General features: G+C 36.2%; 1 protein-coding gene across 17 annotated transcripts in view, besides 1 other annotated feature; it reads right to left on the bottom strand.

Annotated features, from left to right (window-relative positions):
- MPP7 (MAGUK p55 scaffold protein 7) overlaps nt 1-22,765 on the bottom strand; it is a 284,211-nt gene that overhangs the window by 58,905 nt on the left and 202,541 nt on the right. For 14 of the 17 annotated variants that reach the window (NR_134518.2, NR_134517.2, XR_007061944.1 and 11 more), the window contains 6 exons: nt 21,663-21,794; nt 15,113-15,194; nt 14,134-14,219; nt 10,697-10,771; nt 10,297-10,493; nt 9,754-9,818 (listed from right to left, as the gene is read on the bottom strand). Coding sequence is in view for 14 of the 17 variants with exons in the window: in XM_047424647.1 (XP_047280603.1) it covers nt 9,754-9,818; nt 10,297-10,493; nt 10,697-10,771; nt 14,134-14,219; nt 15,113-15,194; nt 21,663-21,794 (637 nt within the window). In the remaining 3 variants the exon portion in view is untranslated. Of the gene's footprint in view, nt 1-8,961; nt 9,165-9,753; nt 9,819-10,296; nt 10,494-10,696; nt 10,772-14,133; nt 14,220-15,112; nt 15,195-21,662; nt 21,795-22,765 lie in introns of those variants that run through there. The other 3 variants (XM_047424651.1, XM_047424650.1, XM_017015743.3) reach the window with 1 other exon arrangement.
- Nucleotides 9,298-10,497: an enhancer, noted in NCBI's record as "MED14-independent group 3 enhancer chr10:28408124-28409323 (GRCh37/hg19 assembly coordinates)". NCBI's record gives its function as "activates an origin of replication core promoter dependent on BRD2, BRD4, P300/CBP and CDK7 cofactors, and independent of MED14, by STARR-seq in HCT116 cells {active_cell/tissue: HCT116}" and the evidence as "EXISTENCE:reporter gene assay evidence [ECO:0000049][PMID:35650434]".

Consider the following 22,765-nt stretch of genomic DNA (forward strand, 5'->3'; position numbering starts at 1 on the left):
CAGCATAGAACAGCCCTTGCAATGCCACTCTTAAACATAAAACAGTTTGTTTTATATTTAAGTTTAAAGTGATATTTTTAAACATCATGCAGGGTTTTTTTAATTCCTCCAACTTTCTTCAGTGGTTTCTTGATGCAGTTCCAAGAAAATTATACGAGACTTGTCTGAGAGGTTTATATTTTCTTCTTTTTTCTTTTTTCTTTTTTTTTTTGAGATGGAGTCTCACTCTTTTGCCCAGGATGGAGTGCAATGGTGCAATCTCGACTCACTGCAACCTCCGCTCCTGAGTTCAAGCGATTCTCCTGCCTCTGCCTCCTGAGTAGCTGGGATTATAGGCACGCACCACCACACCCGGCTAATTTTTGTACTTTTAGTAGAGACAAGGTTTTGCCATGTTGGCCATGCTGGTCTCGAAATCCTGACCTCAGGTGATCCGCCCACTTTGGCCTCCCAAAGTGCTGGGATTACAGGCGTGAGCCACTACGCCCGACCTATATTTTTAAAGTTAAGAAAATGATGCCACCTGATCCCCCAAAGTACATTTACTTTTGTAAATCAGGCTCTTAGATAATAGGTAAAAATACAGCACTTATTTTGGCTCATTGGATTAGACAGAAAGGTTAAGATGAAAATATGTCCTTTCTATTGATAAGAAGAGATTTCATGTTGGGAGTAACAGGGGAATGAAATATTGGTATTTCTTTTAAAGAACTGATAAAAACATTTGTAAAGTAAGCAATGTGCTAGTATTTTTAAGTCACATGAATACTAGGCTATACATATCTTAAAAACTTTATTTAAGTAGTGGGGTACTTAATATTTTAGGCCTCTTTCTTGTGGAACTAGCAGCATAGACTGCACAGAAATAAATTAATTGAGAAGGTTCCCCTAGATCCTACATCAAAATACGTCTGTCAATACATTTGAATAATACTGTTTATTTCATTCACATTTAAGACTACTGACAGAATAAAAATATAATGTATTATTTCAGATTACATTCTATATTTCTGCTGCATAAAGCAAAAAAATGCATATTTCTTTCTAAAACAAAGTGCAACCACAATTTTTGGTATTGTAACGTCAAGATGGAAGTTTGGATGTACAACAGAGTACATTTGTAAGTTGATTGTTATATTCAATTTAATCCTACATATATGTGCACTAAATAAAATGACTAGACTATGCAGGGTAACTTATTATACATGTACCTTTAATTTCCTCTGAGAAGCACAAAGAAAATGAGAAAGGAAATGATTAAATGTGCAGAAAATGCAATTAGAATAGGAAGATGTTGCACCCAAAGGAAAAAAAAAATCCACCTACCACACTCAACTGTTTCCTCATCTTAGCAAAGCCAAAGGAAAAAACAAATGTATTTTAAATGTTTCAAAATTATCAGTCAACAAATAAATAGAATTTATGAAAAACTACATTTTAGGCTGCACTGCAGCCTTGTTTTAAAAAGAATGCATACACTTAAGTTGTCAAAACATAGTCCTTACATAGCTTATTAAATAACCAAATGGGAAAAATAACCAGAACAAAAACCTTCAGCATTTTTTTCAAAATAATGTCTTTAATAAGGGGATTACATTTATTTTCATAGAACAGTTTTGTTTGTAAATCAATCTGTTCAACACTTAAAAGAAATTTCTCGATAAAAATAGTGGAAAGAAAAAAGGATATTAGAAACAACAAATTTTGTCCTTAACATATCTAAATATCCTGTAAATTTAACAATAACCTGACAATTATCAATGTTATATACATATCAAATGAGTTATGCAGAATCATTTATTTTTATTCTGTCTATATTATCTGATGAAAGGTATTTTAGAAAGTAATCCTAAACAGTTCCTAAATTACTAAGAGGATAGCAATTTAAAAGTTAAATATGACTTCAGAGACTCGCTTTCAGAAGGGTGGAAAAAATACTGGCAATATTACAGAGGCAAATCTAACTATGAGTCAAGGTACAAAGCATTTCACTACAATGACCTCAGAGCAAATAGGAGTGATCAGAACAGTTCTCCCCTCATCCATCCAAGCTACAGAATAGTGGCCAAAGAAAACACTTCCAGGAAGGTGTATACCACTGTATTTTTATTTTTCAAATACCTATGGATCCTTAAACTATGTTGGCTTGGTTTGACCAGTATTAGCAAATATCACAAGCAAATCATTATTATTATTCAGGCTCGTGCTTTGAATCACCCAAGTTGTGACTTTATTTAAGCACATGTCTTAGTAACTCTGACCTGTCATGCGCATCTAAAGCAAACGGTTAGAAAACAAGAAATAAACGATATGATGTGGCTTAGGCAAACAGCTAGGCATGATGGACATCAGATGGGTCACTTTGAAATCTCAGGTACTCCATTATAAAGTGGGTTGTTAAACATAGAGTCTATTTTTTTATAGGACCAATGGGATAGATTAAATACTACACCCTCGATTAAAGACTTAGCGCCATGGAAATCAAATGATAAAAGCCATACCACAAAAACCAACAAAAAATTAAAACACCAATGCCAATCCACAAAAAAATCTGTAATTTATATCACATATAGTACATATTTCACATTTTAATAAAATTTCATGAATATGCTGTATAAATTTGCAAAAGAATGTTTCTCCATAAAATTTTTAAGTAGAGAGAAAATGATATTTTTATATCACTGATATAACCACACACATATATTCAGTAGCAAGTATCATGCTTAATGAACATCCAGTAAGAAAAGGAAACAGAATTTCTCAGACTTAGCAAGTTTGAACAAAGAGGAAAAAATATATAAAACGTTGATCTCAGAAGAGAGTTGGGATAGTCACATGATTATTACTATGTGGAAGGCACTGTTCTGTGTACACTACAATACACAAACTTATTTAATTCCCCAACAATCTATGAGTCCAGTACTATAATCCCCATTTTTTTCAGATAAGAAAGAACCCTATAGTGAATTCTCATAATTTTATGTTGCTTTGGCATCCATTGTGAATGCAGGCTTAACTTTCTCATATCAGAAACAGGGCTTAGTCGCCCTTGACATGGCTTCAAGCTCTCTGCCTCCTCCCACTTCCTCAAGGCAGCCCATCCAGATATCTGCCTTATACAACTGCCTGCTGGTGACCACCTCACTATGGGACATACGGATACAGCCTATTTGACTCACTCCGTGACCTCTACACCCCACGTGGACCATGCAATTATGCTGCAGTGACCACCTCTCAGTCACAGCATAACTCCACGGAACTCATGCCTGCTTTCTTTACACCCACTATTTAGAACTCCCAGAAGGAAAGCTTGCTTGGGTAATGTCCTGGACCCCAGTGAAGGCTTTGGTCCCCCCATCTCTCTTGCTCCCCACACACTGGTTGAGTCTGCATCCCAGACAACTCCCCTCTTCCTGTTGGCCCTGCGAGGTATACTGCTCTCCTCTCTGGGATCTGTGAGTAATACACTACCTCTGCTATTTCATGCACCCCTGCTATTTCACGTTGCCTCCTCTGTGTCTCACCTGCCCAGCACACCTGAATCTACAGTATTTCCTGGTCAGGGCATTCCTAGAGAGTGGCTATCTTGGTAGGAATAAACCGGAAACAGGTCAGACAAGAGCCCCAAGAGTGTCTGTCAATATAATCAAGTCCTTATGAGAGAGGACATCTGGTCACAGGTGGACACTTAGGCATTAGGCCTTCCACCAGAAAGAAGTATCCCAAGAAAGGCACACTGCAGACAGCCACGACCACCTCCCCTGCATCAGAGCAGGGCTAGAGTTTATAGCCACTTTCTAGAGAGAGCTCAAGAACTAATTAGAAAGAAAAAAAAATACAACACACTTGTCCATGTTAAAACTGGGATTTGGACCCATGCCATCTGGCTCGAGTCTGAGTTTTTAATTCAATGCTATGCTAATCATGACAAAATCATGTTTTGATTACTCAAGTCTCAGACTAGAAATGGGCAGGAGAGAGGTCGAGGGACATAAAGTTTCTTACAAGTTTCCTACTGACTTAGCATGACCTCCCATGGCCCGCCATCCCTCCCCAAAGCTTCGGTATTCCAAGGGAGAGTCTCCTGCCAGGAGTGGCCAGGGAGGGCCAGCTCCTCTCTCCAGTGTTATCAAGAGTCCACCATCTGCTATCTTCAAGTACATTAGAGCAGGAGAGGAAAGTTAGAAAAGTGACAAAGGGGAGGCCAAGAAGATCTCAAAAAGATGAATGTGGCTGAGCACAGTGGCTCATGCCTATAATCCCAGCACTTTGGGAGGCCACAGAAGGAGGATCACTTGAAGCCAGCAGTTTGAGATCAGCGTGAACCACATAGTGAGAACCCATCTCTACAGAAAATTTTAAAAATTAGCTGGGGGTGGTGGCGCATGCCTGTAGTCCCAGCTACTCAGGAGGCTGAGACAAGAGGATCACTTGAGCCCAGGAGTTCAAAGCTGCAGTCAGCTATGATGGTGCCACTGCACTCAAGCCTGGGCAACAGAGTGAGAGCCTGTCTCAAAAAAAGGAAAACCTTTTTTTTTTTTAAAGAGAAAGATAAATGTGCTGTCTTAAGAGAATGAACTAGAAAGGTTCTGTGAAAAGCACGTGGTGAGTCCTGCACACTGGGCAGTAGTAAACGTCCCATTCTGCTGGATGTCACTCTGCAAGGGACATGTGTGACACTCCTGACAAGTGGAGAAACTGTGTCTATATTAGTGTGCTATTATTCACATGGGCAAGGTTAAATCCCCATACTAGAAACCACTTTCCTAAATTCCCCACCCCCTACCGCAATCCGTCCTAAAAGTCTGCAATAATCCGCAACCACAGATCAGACCCCTAAGAGTTAACCAATGCTTTCCAACCTGCATGGCATTGAGTCCCCAGGACAAAATACAAGAGACAATAGGGCTGAGAACGCTTCCAATGGAAAGACTAGAAGCATCTACTCTGATAGTGTTTGAGAAGCAACATCTTGGGGAATCCCAGGAGAACACAGTTCACTGAGACTGAGTGTGAGCAGTAACAGTTAGAAGGTTCTTCACCTCAACCATCTTCGATTTAAGTGATCAGATATGAAATTTACAACTTAGTTCATCTACACCTCTTTCCACCCAAACTCTGAACTCTGGCATCTTCCAGATAGTATTAGTATTAGGGGAAAAATACGTTAGGTTTTTTGTTTGTTTGTTTGTTTGTTTTGTTTTTTGTTTTTGTTTTTTTTTGAGATGGAGTTTTACTCTTATTGCCCAGGCTGGAGTGCAATGGCACAATCTCGGCTCACTGCAACCTCTGCCTCCCAGGTTCAAGCGATTCTCCTGCCTCAGCCTCCCGAGTAGCTGGGATTACAGGCATGTGCCACCACGCCTGGCTAATTTTTTTGTATTTTTAGTAGAGACGGGGTTTCACTATGTTGGTTAGGCTGGTTTCGAACTCCTGACCTTGTGATCTGCCTGCCTCGGCCTCCCAAAGTGCTGTGATTACAGGCGTGAGCCGCTGTGCCCGGCCAATGTTAGGTATTTTTTAAAACCCCACGTGTTTCTGTTTATACAAGACCCCACCAATATTAAGAAAATGTTTGACAATGTTTTAGACATACAAACTTCATGTAACAACATAAGCAATGTGTTTGTTTCTGAATTAACTTTATGTATGAAAACAACAAATAAAATTACTTAAGAATCCAGGAAGAAGAAGCTTACTCAACTTGAAAAGCTTTATTACAATGACTTGTAGCATCCTGTGATATATTATTCCTAAGTGTTAAGACATTCCAAAATACCGGTACCGTGTGCAGTGAATTCGTTATTTTACTCAATGCTTAAATTCTTTTTTGCCTATTGTGATTATCAACTGACAAATGTTTGCCTTTGAATGAACTAAGTTACACCTTGCTTAAATGGATACCCTTTGGCTTCAGTTAAATGTTTTCTTTTTACCTGCATAATAATAATCATGACTAGTTAAAACAAATTCTACAATAAAATATTTTGTGTTTTCCTTTCTAATCTTTAAATGGTTGAAAAATTGTACATTCTTGTTTCTTTGACTGCAAGAATTTTTTAAGAGTTATTGTGTAAAACAAAAATTTTGAATTAAGGTTATTCAGTCAGCAATATTAGAAACTTTTAGGTTCTTATATTTTGATAACTAAAAAAAGGAAACAACACTATAAAAACTCACACTTGAATATTCTGTTGTAAAATACACTACCTGAATAACAGCTTTTTCTTACTCCTTTCTGAAGACAATATATACTGGATTTAAATATTTAATATAAATCACATCCTACTGAACTTAAATTAATTTGATGTCATTAGGAAGACAATTCTTAACTTGTATTTAGATTTCAATAGAAAAGCAACAAACAATACCACAAATGAATTCCTATTTCTTTCTTAACGGTTAGGTAGTACATGCAACCAAACTATAAAAATAAGTTTTAGGCAGAAAATTAGAATACTTTAAATTATATTGACACAAGAAATGCAAGCTGCCAAGTTCCTGTCATGCAAAAGTACTCCTACATTCTATCTGAGACATAAGATTCACTTTTACTCATTTCCAGAACACTTAAGCTACATCTTGTATATAATAATCTAAAAGCTGGTCATATAAAAGAAAATCTATCAGACTTTGAGGCCTGCTTTTCTCTCTGCATTACTAATATAAATCCATTATGTGGGAACCTATCATTAGATGATGGAGAGGGAGGGAAACAAATTTCCATTACAAATATCTTTGTTCGGTAAGCAATTCTTCCAAAAAATAGGGGGAGGAGACAAGTCCTTATATCCAGCTACTTAAGACTTAGAAATATTTTAGGTTTAAGAGGTCATGTTTTAGTTTTCAGGAATTTTTTAAGAGGTAAATTATTTTTTTGTTTGAAAAGCCTTTTTATTCTTCTGGGTTTGTATTAGATACACAAAGATTCTTTAGGGGAGGACATAACCAAGCAACAAAGATGAATATGACTTGCACTTATGAATTTTGCATAAGGAGGCTAGTTTCAAAGCCTAAAGAGGTTGTTATTATCATGGCTCCTGATTTTACTTACCTTGGAGCCAAGAACTAGAGCTCTAGCACAAATATAAGTGCAAAAATGCAAAGACAGTAAGATTGGGATGTGCCCTTCCTTATTTATTTCTATGTTGATATTAACTGAAACCCTATAGTTCCAGAACCATCTTCCATGAACTTTTCCCCCATGCAAACTCAAGTTATGGTGATACACTACAAATGAAATAAAAAGCAAAATAAAGATTTAGAAAAGAGTAATACGAGCAATCACTTTGTATAAAAAGTTAACTGGCTAATTTCGTAAATGGTATTATGTGACTAAATTCATTATTTCAAATCCTATATTTGCAATTTCCTCCTAGATGTTAAGTACACTTGTAAAAATTAGTGGATAAAGTTTTTATCACTGTATTTTTAAAATAAATTTATAAACATTGACATGATAGAATTATTCTTCCTTTATAAATTTTAATTGAATCAGAAACTTTTTTTACAACCCTATTCTATTAATATTCAAAATCATAAAAACAAAAGATTTTATACCAACTTGCTGTTTTTCTTCATGGCATTTTCCTATAATTCAACAAAGGGCATGATAACGTAAGTTTCCTATTCCAAAACCCTAAGTACCAAATATTGAAATCCAGAAAGTAGTGGATCAGATGGCCTTTACAAGTTTTAGTTTGGTAAAGAATCATCATCAAAACATAGGTTAAAGTGTTTTTAAATGCCATTTAAAATGTTCAGAATCAATACAATGATTTATGCATAACTTTTAACTTTATGTGAGACAATATTCAAGGAAATTTCAAGTAGAATTTCAATTCTTTGAGAATAAAGACATTAGCTGCCTATTTGTCACAGAAATATATTGTCTCTCTGAACAAGTCCATATCTGTTATATGTTTATGATTTAATAAGGATAATTTTGACCAGATTTATTTGAAAATAAATAACATATATAAAAACAAACAATGCATCTCTCAGTGAATCAAACTCTAGTTTAATAAGAGAGACAGAGAGAGAGGAGAAAGAAAGAGAGGAGGACCAGCAAACATTTCTGAATGGTATTCAAGAGGCAGAAAAAGCAAAAACAAAAACAAAAAAAAACAAAATTAGTCAAATGAGGACATTTCAGTAAAGATAAATGCTAGAATAAATATTTATCAGATCCAAATATTGAAGTATTAACATAAAAAAGAAATCATGCAAATCAACATACAAAAGGACTCCGTTACAATTAATACTTCTACATACACACACAAACAAACACACATACCCCCACACACACCTCACCTTCCTATGCATCTATATAGAAACCAGTTTGAAAGAGCTATTAAAAAGCAAAATATCCCTTTTGTATAGTTCTTTTAAAGAAATACATATACACTTATCAAAAATTTTCAATCAATGAAAATTTATAATAATATCAAACTGTACATTTCTAAGTTGCCTAGGACTGAAAAAGAGTTGAGTATGGATCCAGATTCGAGTATAATTACATTTATTTCATCTTTAAGTGACACATTATCTTATCCCACATATGCCAAATATATTAGAAATGTGTAAGCCTCCTATTTAAAAATCCCTTTGAGAGCCAGTCAGGCAAGGAGCCTCAAAGCTCCTTTCTGTTAGTGAGTTGGCCAGTGAAAAGTCATCACGCTTAAGAACAGTGCAATATTCTCACGAAAGCTTTAAGTTTTCTGATGTCAGAAGACTTGTAGCATTCTGTGACAAGGGTTTTTTTCCTTGTGCCTAGACTTAATGTAGCAAGGACAAGCAGGCTTTTGAATGAGTGCTCCACTTTAAGCATTTGCCTGCTTGTGAGATTTATACTCGACTACAGTTTGGCTCCCTTCTAATGTGATTCCTGGGCTATATGCTTCTGCAAACTGACAGAAATCACAGGAGATGTGAAAAATGCAACAATACTAAAAACAGATGTTGGTGTAAAATTCCAGGGCCATTTATTTGGTCATTTCGCTGTTTAATGTACAGTTTCTATGCTAAAAACAAAGGGTTGGTTTTTTCCTCTTAAAATACCTAGAACCATGAAACATCTAGGCGAGGTGGAACAGGGAATTTATGGGATGCAGACTTGAAGAGCTGGGTGGTGGGAAATAAAGAAAAGCTGACAGAAGATTAGGCTGAAAGAGAAAAAAAAGTATTTAAATGCACACTAAGTTTTTCAGTAGTCATACGGTAGCCATCCTTTGTCTTTCTCTCATTTTCTTTTAATCTAGTCTGGTAATAACTCCAAAGGGATAGGCTAAAGGTCAGAAGTATTATGATCTGGGGATAAGAAAGGAATTAAGAACAATTGGTCTTGAGCACAATTGCTTTTGTACCCAAGAAAATGGTAGATTTTTTTTCTCCCTAATCTTTACCAAGAAATACCTAACCCAAACTTCCTGGCTTTGAAGAAGGAAGAGCTGTATTTTAGGTGACATTTAATAAAATAACTATATTTGGAAATCAAAGACAGTAGTAGTAGTAGTCACTTTCTTAAAGAGTGAGTCATGGATTTATTATTAACAACCTCAACCACCCCTTTCCTCAAAAGATTCATGTTAATATTCCAAATATGAATCTCATATTTGTTTGTTCCTGAGAACTGATGATCCCAAAGTTATTGCTAGGGTAATAGGACCCTTTGTTCTGCCATGAGCACCTGCTTTAATAGTCAAAAATAAACATCAGGGTTTGGTTTCTCTGCATTCTTATTAACAAACTTACATGATTTCCTGTTGGAAACTTTCAGGGGCTGAACCAATATTTCTGGTCGTCTCAAAGCCAATCTCCTGGGAGAAAGAAGGTCAACATACCTATCAATTTTCAGCACAGGTCCGAGGTGAATACAATATCAAAATATTTAGTCTTAAGAAAAAACTTAAAGGTTAGAGAAAAAAATGAATGTAATGCAATAGATTCAAATTAAGAAACAAATCGCCCACTTTCAAATTTTTGTAAATTATCTTCCCTCCCTCCAAAACCACTGGTCTTTTTTTTTTCCACCTTTCATATCAACATGGTTTCAAGATATTAATGTGCTATTTTCCATTTGCTTCATAACAAAAATCTAATATGACCCAGTACTGTCATATTATTTTTGGTCATTCATCATACTTAGTTAGACAAAACAGAAATCCAAACCCACAGGATAAAAAATTCTAAGGCAAGGTTTTATAGCATATTTTATCACATCAATGCCAGAATGATATTTTGCAGAGAACAAAAGGTCAGCTGGAGAAAAGCCATTATTATGTACCAGCAGCTCACCTTTCCTGGAAATGCTTTGAGGGGATCAAGCCTGCCCTGGGGTTGGCATCAGCTTCGTGTTTCGCTTGCCACCAAGTTGCATCATCTTGGCTCATAATCTGAAGAATATCTCCCTTTTTGAAAGAAAGCCCAGCTTCCTTACATGGAATTGCCTTATCCTCATTAGGATTATAGTCAAAGAGGGCTTTGATAAACATCTGGAAGAAAAGTTTCATTAAAGATGAATAAAGATAAAAAATAAATGTGAAATGGCCTATATTCTCCTAACTCCGACTCCAAACATAGTAATTTTAAAACTGGAATATTGAAAGAAATGTGTTGTGACAAAGTGGATATGTGTTGGATGGAAAAACATGACTTCCCTCCCACGCACGAAGAAATGTTTTTAAGCAATAATTACCTTGCCTTCTTTTGATGGTGTCTCCTCTTTGCTGCCGGGTATAATCTTAAATGTAATTGCTCCCTGAGACTGAGCCTGGTAACAGATAAAACAAGGAGTTATAAGAAAACCAGACCCAAGGAAGAATAAGGTAAAATAGGTAGAAAGTGAAATGCATCTGAAAATTTACAAGCTTGGGGCTTCTACTCTTAGATAGACTAAACGGAGGAAACTATTTTTGTAGAAATTCCTGTAATGTGAGAAAGAAAGCTCTGAAGTTTGTAGAATAAGTTAAAAAACATTAACTCCTAAATCCACTTTTACTTCCTGTGTACTTTTAAGCTGTCAAGTAAATACATTCCCATCCAAGTTTCTTCGAAATAGAAACACACAAAATATGCACAACACCTTAAATAAACACAGTATTCAATGACTAGAACAGATAATGTATAAAGGTCTGGGTGCAGTGGCTCGTGTCTGTAATTCCAGTGTTTTGGGAGGCAAGGTGGCAGGATCACCCAAGCCCAGGAGTTCAAGACCAGCAATATAGCAAAACCCCTGTCTCTACAAAAAAAATTTTAAAAATTAGCCAAGCGTGGTGATGAAGCTAAGGCCTCTTGAGCCCAGGAGTTCAAGGCTGCGGTGAGCTGTGATCGCACCACTGCACTCCAGCCTAGGTGACAGAGCAAGAAGCTTTTTTTTTTTTTTTTAAAGAATAATGTACAAGGTTCATACAGTTACATTTAAGTATCAGCATCCATGTTTTGGGGGACAAAACACCTATAATGTCAGTAGTGCAGTTACAAATACATGATTCAATTAGTGGCAATGCCCATCAGAAAAAAAAAATAAAGAACATTCATATCTATTGTATTCTGGTGAGCGAGTAAAATATCCAACGTAATAGATTAATTGAAAGATGAAAAGACTGAGTATCTATTCTAACTTCATTAAAATAAGTACCAGCACCCACAAGTTTTTGTTATCTCAGATAGGATTTCTCTTTAAATATAGTCTCATGTCATTCTCTGTCTCTCTCTTTTTACCATGTATTGTAGCCATATTTAATTATTTATGCCATTATTTCATAAGATATGTTACTCCTGCTAATTTGTAAGCTCCATAAAAGCACTAAATACTTGGCACATTTGAAAGATATGAAAGGAAGGGGGGTAGGGCAAGACATATCTCTGAGTCTCACTATCTGTGGTGCACTGGTAAACCAGGACTCCATTTATTTAAAAAAAAAAAAAGGCTCTGATGTGTACTGTCTGTCAATTTCCATGGTATAAATACTTTCACTATAGTCAATTTCAATTCACCAGCATGAAGTTGCTGAAAGCTGAGTTGGGAAATGGTGCATCACACAGTCAGCTCTGGGCCGAGCCTTAAGAAGGCAGCTCTAGTGCAACACAGCAAGTTAAGTAAAATGGGATTCTGATAGTTTAAATAATAGAATTTTATAAAGGGTTGATTTATTTCAAAATGGTAATATCATTGCTATTGCTTATTGTAGAAGGCGCTCACAAATCTTATAAAGAATTCTCATACTGTAATACTGAATTACATTGGTAGAGAGAAAACAAAAGTCTTTTCTATAATCTCCTCTTATTTTTCTAGTTTGTGTCTGTGTGTTTTTTTTTAAATGGATCTATGGTCCTTACAACAGTGTCATTTAATAAGGACTCAATTGTTATTACTATTACTGCTGAGCCATATAGGTCTATCTCTCGTGATTGCCTCACAATAATCTAGCATATGGATGAATGATTATTTGATCAACGCAACTTTCTTGGTAGTTTCCGAATATTTTTGAAAAATTTTGTTTATACACATTTACCAAATTATTGCTTGAGGATTAATTTCCAACTAAAGGGTATGCACATTTAAAATTTTGATAGTTTCAGATCTCAAAAAGTTCTACTAATAATTTATCCCATCCCCAAATCATATAAATATACCTATTTTCCTATACCCTGACCAACTCTAGGCATTATCAAGCTTTCCAATCTCATATCCTGAAAATGCTTTGAGGGGATCAAGCCTGCCCTGGGCTTGGCATCACCTTCGTGTCTCCAGACATCTATGTTTTCTTTTGTAAAGTATTTGTCCATATGCACTGCTGATTTTTCTGTAAATGTTTTTCTTATTGATTTTTATCATCTCTATATATTTTGAAACATTAGCCTTTTATTATATATACTGAAAATATTTTTCATACAATCTCATTTGTCTTTGATGTTTCTTTATGGCACCTTTTTTCTATAAAGAAAGTTTTGAATTCTAGTAGACACATCTGTTATTTTTCTATTTGACTTTCATATCAAGGTTAAAAAGTCTTTTTCTACCTTATAATTATAGAAATTGTATATTACCTTTTATTGTGCAATTTTTGTTTTTTTTGCACTTATTTAATTTGTTGGGAATTTATTTTTATGTATTGTGTAAAACAAGGATTGACCTTATTTTTTCTGCGCCATTAACCTGATACCATCTATGAAATGTTCCACTGTTTTCCCACTGATTTAAAATGCCACCTTAACCATATACTAAATTTTCATATATACAGAGATCTGTTTTTGAGACACACTCAAACCTCTTCTAGTTGGTATAGGTTTCCAGTATGTTTTCACATATAAAAGAGAGTTTCCCTTCCTTTTATCTTACAAATGAACTTTAGAATTAATATTTCCAAGGCATAAAATAATTTTATTCAAGTGTCAGATTTCAAAAGACATCTAAATTAGTTTGACTAATTTGTATTGCTATGATCTATAGCATGGAATGTGACTGTGTCAATGGGAGGAAGACAAAGATAAATGCATCACCAGCCACAGTGTAGATGCCATCTGCTAAGTATAGACTTGGGACAGGGACAGGTACTAAATTCTTTTTTTTTTTTTTTTTTTTTTTTGAGACAAAGTCTTGCTATGACGCCCAGGCTGGAGTGCAGTGGTGTGATCTCGACTCACTGCAACCTCCATCTCCTGGGTTCAAGCGATTCTCCTGCCTCAGCCTCCCAAGTAGCTAGGACTACAGGTGACTGCCACCACGTGCAGCTAATTTTGTTTTGTATTTTTAGTAGAGACGGGTTTCACCATGTTGGCCAGGCTGGTCTTAAGCTCCTGACCTCAGGTGATCCACCTGTCTCAGCCTCCCAAAGTGCTGGGATTACAGATATAAGCCACCACACTCGGCCCTAAAACTCTTTATATATACTATCTCATTTAATCCTCAAAACACTCCAGATGGATAGTTACCTCTTATTCTCATTTTGCAAATGAAAACACTGAGGCATGAATAGATTAAGATATTTTCCAAGAACACACAGGGATTAAGTGTTCGAACCCTGCACTGCTTAATACAAATCCTGTCTATGTCAAACCAAGTCTAAAAGTCTGAAATACAGTGATTCGATTTTATTTTTATTGTACCTTTAAAAGAAATTTACAGCTTACCAAAATCTGTATTATTTCCTCAGGCCTTTTATCCTCCACTGGTATCCCGTTGACTTCCCTAAGTTCATCACCAACATGAATAAGACCTGAGAAATAGGAGATTTGGTAAATTAGCAGTGTTACCCACAACCAAAACTGTAATTTGCAGCTGTTTCCATAAGTAAAGCATTGTTAGGTTCCCTTAATACACTTAACGAATGGAAAGGAGACCTTCACACATCTCAGGTTTCAGCCTCTATGCCTCTCCATAGCAGTGACTCAAAAACCACAACATAGTAATGCTGGCCAAGAAATGGTAACAGGAGCTTGGTCTTTGTCTAGAAATGCACATTACTGATATCTTATACTAATATACTAATAAAATAATTTTTATTTATCTTAAAGGCTGCATGCTCTTAGCAGTACTTTTCAATTGAGAAATACAGAAGAAACAAGATTTTTTTTTTTTTTTTTTTTTTTTTTTGAGACGGAGTCTCGCTCTGTCACCCAGGCTGGAGTGCAGTGGCACAATCTCGGCTCACCGCAACCTCCGCCTCCCAGGTTCACACCATTCTCCTGCCTCAGCCTTGCAAGTAGCTGATACTACAGGTGCCCGCCACCACACTTGACTAATTTTTTTTTTTTTTGTATTTTTAGTAGAGACAGGGTTTCACCGTGTTAGCCAGGATGGTATTGATCTCCTGACCTCGTGATCCACCCGCCTTGGCCTCCAAAAGTGCTGGGATTACAGGCGTGAGCCACCACGCCCGGCCCACAAGTTTTAAGATAGCTTTGGATGCTTGTGTACAAGAAGACCATAGAGTAATGTTTATCTATCATTTATTTAAATAGGCTCTCACATTTCAACACAGAGAAAAATATCTTATTACTTGTTCTGCTGTATTAGATCCAAAGATGGTTATCCTCTTAGTTATCTACTGGAAATGCTACACACGAAACACGTGATTAGTCTGTACTTGGTTAACATTTAAAGTCTCACCACTTCTATCTGCAGCTCCTCCTCTCATGATTCTGGCCACAATGATCGCCCCGGTCTGTTCATCCTTCTTAATGGTAGCTCCCTTTTAAGACAAAAACAAAAAGCATTTGTGGGTAAATGTGTGTACTAGGTGTTAGAAAAGGAGGAAATAAGGACATTCATCTGAAAAAAGAGAAAACAACTACAAAAACGAAAAAAAAGAAATGAGGCAGGAAAAATAGACATCATGCCATTTGTCTTAGAATGTCTATTCTCATGACTAAATAGAGGAAATTCTATCTACATAGCATCAAAGGGTTTCAGCCCAATTTAAGGATTTTTGAAATCTTCAACCTCTTCAAAACTGTGTAAAATAAACATACCTTCTTTCCATTATAAAAATACCTTGTATTTCAATGCTGTTTGGTTTTTATCCTTTTAAAGCAATTCTTCATTCATTTCATCCTTATAGTACCGCATCAAGAAAGTGGAATAGTGACAATTACACTAATAGACAAAAGATTCTATATGTTAAAAAACTAAAACCCAGATCATTTGACTTTTAGTTAGTTCAGTGATCCTTCTATCACCCTCAGTTATCATAGTAAAAAAATAAAAATTTAAAAATTAAAAAAAACTTGGGCGATAATTATAAAGAAAAAGAAAAAAGTTAAAACCCAGAAATTAGTTATATTTGTTGCCTAAGTCTAAGACAAATGATTAGAAGAAAGAGCTCTTACTCCATGGTTTTAGTGAACTAGGATTGTAACTAGTACAAATAGAACTAAGTATTGGCATAAGATTAGGAAACAGTCTCAAAAAGAAGCCAAAAATTCTTCACTTACAGATACTCAGAAGCAAATTAACTGCTGCCTTGTAAGAACAACAGGCACAAGTGGTTACTTTGAAAGCCTTTCCATGACTTTCCTTTTAAGAATCTGGCATTGGTTTTGCAAAGCCATCCAACATTGCATAATACTGCTAAAAAGGTATGCTTTTCAGTGGCAGCAGAATTCATCCAAAAGAAGTGAAATTTTTCTCCAGTTTGTCAATAAACACATTTATATCATTAAAGAACAGATATGTAAACAAAGTAAAAGTCCATCTGTAATAAGTATCCTTTATCTATAACTATCAGATACATAGCCAATAATAGTAAAAAAGTCAAAGAATTAAGTGACAGGCATTTTACGGCATTTTTCATCACCTGTGCATGTATTCAAGGCCAGAGACTTGAATGAGCATCACTTCATGGTCATAAAGCTTAGACTCACCAACTACTAGTATTTTCTGCTTTTATTTCAATTTCTAACTTGTTTCCAAAATGACTGGAAATGTAATATTCTCAATATAACTAATTAGTTTGATTAAATCAACTTTCATTTTCCTTAATGACATGTCTCAAATTTTCCCACCAAATATGCCCAACGGCAGAAAAGCCTAGTAATCTAAGTTTACTTATCCATAGTTTCTGGATGATAAACTGAATATTAAATGGTCGTAATTTGTCTAAGATCAGATAACTAGTATATGGAAAAATCAGGACTTGTTTAAGGTAATCTGACCAGAGACACAATCATTCATCTCAATCATCATCCAATACTGCTTAACCTCTATCTTCCCATAACCTTTCGTTCATAAGTTCATTCTGTCTATGAGTTCATTACTCTTGGGGGAGATTGTCTCTAAAAGGGGGATCACCAATTCCTTCCCTCCTTGTATGTGCATGCCATATTCCCACATTAAGTGGTAAAAATGGTTTTGAGGCTTCAAAGGCTATAAGAAGATCTGTAGCTGCCACTTGGGCCTCTTGAAACACTTGCTCTATGCGAATCTCACTGCCATGTAAGAAATCATGACCACTGCTATGCTCTGAGGAATCCCAAGCTAGCCAAGTAAAGGTAACAATTAGAGAAAGAGACACTTGGCCAGCCCCCAACCTTCCAGCTCCAAGCCCAGGTAACAGTTGTGTAAATGAAGGAGCCCTCAGTTCACTCCAGCCACCACCATCTGACTGTATGTATGAGGAACTCCAAGTGAGAACCTCCCAGCTGAGCTCATCAACCCCCAAAATAATATTGTTTTCGCCACAACATACAGCCGTGGTTTGCAACATAGAATTAGTTAAGTGGAACCAATCTCTCTCTGTACTATGGACTGTACAGTTTTTCAGTATAGGGCTATCTAACCTGTTTGTTATACTTAATGCTAGTTCCTTTGACTTATTCTGTATTCAATGAAGTTGACCAATGTTTATTGAGAACTTACTCTGTGCAAGGCACCGTTCTAAGGGCTTATAATAAACTGATGAAAAAGAAAAAAATGTCTGCTTTCTCATCCCAATGGGGGAGACAAGACAATAAACAAGAGATGGAATAATTACATACATTATACAGTATGTTAGAGAGTTAGTCTGTTTTCATACTGCTAATAAAGACATGCCTGAGACTGGGCAATTTATGAAAGGAAGGTTTAATGGACTTATAGTTCCATGTGGCTGGGGAGGCCTCGCAATCATGGTGGAAGGCAAGGAGGAGCAAATCACATTTTACATGGATGGCAGCAGGCAAACAGAGAGCTTGTGCAGGGAAACTCCCGTTTTTAAAACCATCAGATCTCGTGAGACTTATTCACTATCACAAGAACAGCATGGGAAAGACCTGACCCGTGATTCAATTATCTCCCACCAGGTCCCTCCCACGACACGTGGTTATTATGGGAGCTACAAGATGAGGTTTGGGTGAGGACACAGAGCCGAACCCTATCAGGTGGTAAACACTGTGGGGGTGTGAGGGGATGTAGGGCAGGAAATAGAAGACCAGGATGCCAGGGCAGGCGGAGGAAAGACAATGTGAAGACACAGGACTCACTGAGAAGATGATGTCTGAGTGAATAAAGACTGGACGGAGGTGAAGAAGTTAGCCAATGGGAAGGAACAGAAGACACAGCCAGTGCAAAGGTGCCAAGGGGAAGGCTGTGAATAAAATGCTCAAGAGCGAGCAAGGCAGCCTGTGTGGCTGGAGCCCAGTAGCAGAGGAGCGGCAAGAGGAGATGAGGTAAAGGCAGAAGGGAGTCAGCTTATGTGCTTTATGAGTCACTGTGAGGACACTGGGCTTTACTCTGAATGAAAGAGGGAACATGCAAGGTTGTGAACAGCAGGAGGGGCACAACCTAGGAGGACCACTCCACCCACTGTGCTAAGAGTGAAGGATGGCAAGGGCTAAAGCAATGAAATTAATGAGAGGTTAATCCCTTGTCTGAAATGCTTAGACCAGAAGTGTTTCAGATTCCAGATTTTCTTTTCAGATTTGGGCACATTTGCATTCTTATTGGTTGAGCATCCCAAATCCAAGAATATGAAATCTAAGAGTCTCCAATGACCATTTCCTTGGAGCTCATGTCTGCACTCAAAATGTTTCAGATTTTGGCACATTTTGGATTTCAGATCTTCAGATTTGGGATGCTCACTCTGCACAGTAATTCAAGGGAAAGATGATGGTGGCATGGATCTGACTGGCAGGAGTAGAGGTGATGAAAGGGGATCTGGCTATATTATTGGTGGAGTCTAAAGGATTTCCCAACAGATTGCCTATGGAATGCAAAAGAAAGAGAGGGATTAAAGATAGGCTCAACTTCTTTTGGCTGAGCAGCTGGAAGGATGGAATTGCCATCAACTAAAAGGGGTTAAGACAAGGGTGGAACAGATTTGGGGACAAAGATCAGCAGTTTATTTTTGGATATGTGAAAATTGAGATGTCTATTAGACCTCCAAATGGAGATAACAAATAGACAGATGGATATACGAATTTAAAGATTAGAAGAAAAGACTGGAAGAGAAATAACCCTGGGAGTCTCTGGCACATAGACGCTTTTTAAAGCCATGGGCAGAATAAAATCACTTTTGGAATGTATAGATAATGCAAAGCACTCCAACGCATAAGGGTCTCATTATAGACAGAGATAAGTGCCCTGATAGAATCTTCTTGCTATCCCCTGATTCTACTTTGCTTGGAGGGTAAACTACAGACTTGAAGAATAATCTCTCACTTTCTACATGATACTACCACTTGAATCAATCTTCACTTTGAACCCTTCATTCTTGAAGACTTCTATTTCCATATTGTTTTCCAAACCTCTCTTACCACAATTGTTTGATGTATTCCCAGTGCAATATATTTCCATGAAAATAAGATCAAATCTCAAAAACACAGAGCACATTACACGTGATACTGTACAAAAGTCATCAATCCTATAGCATAGTCTGCCAACACAAAATAAATTAAAATTGGATCTAATATTTTAAAAATTACTTATTTTCCTACATAATTATTTTGAATTTATTCTATGTGATTTTGTTTTAAAAACAGAGTATGGAGAATTTCAAGTTAGATTGAAAAAATAAATTCTGGTCAGATTTTTCTTAATTATTAATTCTGTAAAATGGTTTATAAAAGGGGACTGCTTACTGGGTTATCATGATTTCCTTAAACAAAAAATTTATCTCCTATAGAATTGCTTGAATCCAGGAAGCGGAGGTTGCAGTGAGCCGAGATCACGCCACTGCACTCCAGCCTGGGCAACAGAGTGAGACTCCGTCTCAAAAAAAAAAAAAAAATTTACTTTATTTATTTCCTATAAACTGCCGTATTGCAAGGTCTCCTCAAGTAGGTGGCACAGTGAATTTCAGATTGAGCCTTTGAAACAAGTGTTTTTGAAGTGTGATCTACCAAAAACTTGCACCAAGAACATCTGAGACGCTTTTTAAAATCAAGATTCCCAGGCACCAAAAAAACCCTCCTGATATAAATCCCTTGGGATTCAGCTCAGAAATCTGCATTGTAAGTAAGCATCTCAGGTCATTCTTCCAATACCAAAATCTGAGAACCACTGTTCTCAAGGAAGCAAGAGGACAGCCGATGCAAGTAACACTGAGAATTTAGGATCGAAATCTACTCACCAACAAACAGAATTTCATTTTCAAGGGATCTTGCCCCTTAAGTAATTACCCTTTTTCCTATCCATTATCTAATACCCACATAACCTGTGTTCACAGCCTGTTCTCTGAGGTAACCATTCTCTCCTTGAGCAGATGCAACCTAGCTTTTATAAGTATTAACTAGAATATAAATTCTAATATCTTTTAAATATTAGATGGAATATATTCTAATATCTTTTAAATATTAGATAGAATATATTCTAATATTTACATAATGTTTGCATAATGCTTCAGAACTCATAAACCATTCCAAACACATTATATCTTAGCTGATGTTCAAAAACACTTGCAAAGAGGTACATTTCCTGATTTTCTGATAAGGAACCTGAGGCTGAGATGGTGAGTGGTTTGCTCTATAGGATACAGGGCAAAGTGACAGGATCCCAACTCCCACTTAGGTCATCCAGTGCAAGCTCAGTGTTCATGTCACCACATTATGGATCCCAATAAACAAAATTGCATTTTTAGATAACACTGGTAACCTATCCCTTGGTTGCCAAACGTTACAGCCTTTCCTCATGAATCACTTGCCAAGCATTTCCTGACCATCCACTTGCTAGAATTTTATTTCAGCTTAGCTTCCAGCACTTTGCCTACTTCTGATTCTCACGACTGGGGCTCATTCTCCTAAAGATATCTTTGACTCTTAATCTTCTCTCTGTGTGTTTTTCATTGCGCTTTGACAGTCTTGTGGCTTCTCCAACAATTCCCCGAACTAACAAATGTCATTTGACTGATGTTAAATAACAAATTTGTTGAAAGTATTTTCTATTCTTCTGGGTAGTGTATTTTTTAAACTTTAAATTTGTTCACACAATAATCTTACTTTACCTTAACAATAATTGCGAAGATAATACACTAATTATATATTTGAATGAGAAAAATTTCAAGACAAGTAATTCTATTCATTTGATTTCATATTCCAATATTTAAAATGACATTTTAAATCTTAATACTTTATTTAAGGAATAGCTAACAAATAATTTTGGAAATTTCTTCATTGCCATTAGAGGTTCTATTTTTCTATATTAAGCTTTTTTTATTTTTAAAAATAGAGCTACTTGGACATAAAATAAAATTAAATTAAACAAATTTAAGTTCCACGCCTCCTGACCAAATAAGATCTTCAAAAGATGTTTAACAAAGAAATTAGATGTTTACTTCACTGAGACTTCTCAAAAGTTTTGTTGGACCTGCTGTAAATTAGTTTAAATTTAAAAAGCAATTGAATTAAGTATATAAAATAACTTAAAGTTGCGTTCCCATAGACAATAGCAATTTTTTTAAGTTGTACCATGTAATCTCAAATCAACCATGCTTGGTACATGTTACGCCTTCTTTCATAAATGTCAACAGGTTACATTTTCAAAATCATTGCTATTTAAATGTAGCCAATAAAATGTCTATTAACCTTCACTTTCATTTTTCAAAAGCATGTTCTTTAGACATCAATGTTCCATTTCTTTTAAAGTTTAAGAACATAGAGGAAGTATATTTTAAAGAGTTATACATGGTATGCACCATCAGATTTGGCCCTATCATGGTATCTACTCATATCTGAGCACCAAAACTCACCAGTGGTTCTCTATTTTTGACCAGACGGATTATTTTTACTGAGTCTTCCTCATCGTCAATATCTTCAGGCATAGGAGGCAACACTGGGTCGTAATTCTTCTGAGCCACAGTATCATGTACAGAGAGCAAAGCCTGTAATATTCAAAGGTTGATTTAAATAAGTAAATATACATACTTATATATTATATGTAATATATATAAAATTTCAAACACATCAAACTATAAGGAAAATCAAAACAGTGTTACGGTTTTGACATAGTAGTGGTAATAAGACAATTACTTGAATAGGTTCCTCTTACAAATGGAATGGGAAACAGTGCTTGTCCAGAGAGCAGATAGCAGCTCTACTTAGCAGCCACCTCTGTCCCCAGTGTCACTGATGTATGTAAAGAATCAACAAATAATCTCCTCTAAGTTGTACATTCTCTGGTTTATCCTTAAAAAGGTAGCAATTTGGGGCAAGAGTGCGGGGGATGTTACTTTTGGGGGAAGGGAGAACATGAGGGCTAAAGATGCAATGTCAAATAGAGTCTGAGAATATTCTATATTTTGTTCTTTCCTACTATTTTTTCTCCTATTAGCAGAAAATACAATGATGATCAATATGACAGATTCTTTTGTCTTTTTCCTCACTTTAATTGTGTGTGTAATTGGTGACTACTATGTGTATAAAAGAATGTAATTCTACACCAAAGATGAAAAGAACACCAGAACTTTGACATGTCACAATTCACTATTTTAGATGAGTGAGTTTTGGACTTTCAACAAACTTGACCCCTAATAAGCAACACCACTATTCATAAATTACTCAAGCCATCCTTGAATCCTCTCCTCTTACTGACATTCTCAATAACCAATATATATTCTATTTTTTAAAAACTTTTTTTTAGACACAAGGTCTTGCTCTGTTACGCTGGCTGGAGTTCAGCGGTGGGATCATAGCTCACTACAACCTCAACGCCTAGGCTCAAGCGATCCTAATTCCTCAGCCTCCTGAGTAGCCAGGATTACAAATGCATGCCCCAATGCCCAGCTATTTTTTTTATTTTTATTTTTTTAAGACAGAGTCTCGCTCTGTCGCCCAGGCTGTAGTGCAGTGGTGC

The sequence above is a fragment of the Homo sapiens genome, chromosome 10 (genome assembly GCF_000001405.40).
Source record: "Homo sapiens chromosome 10, GRCh38.p14 Primary Assembly".
In the NCBI taxonomy this organism is placed as follows: domain Eukaryota; kingdom Metazoa; phylum Chordata; class Mammalia; order Primates; family Hominidae; genus Homo; species Homo sapiens.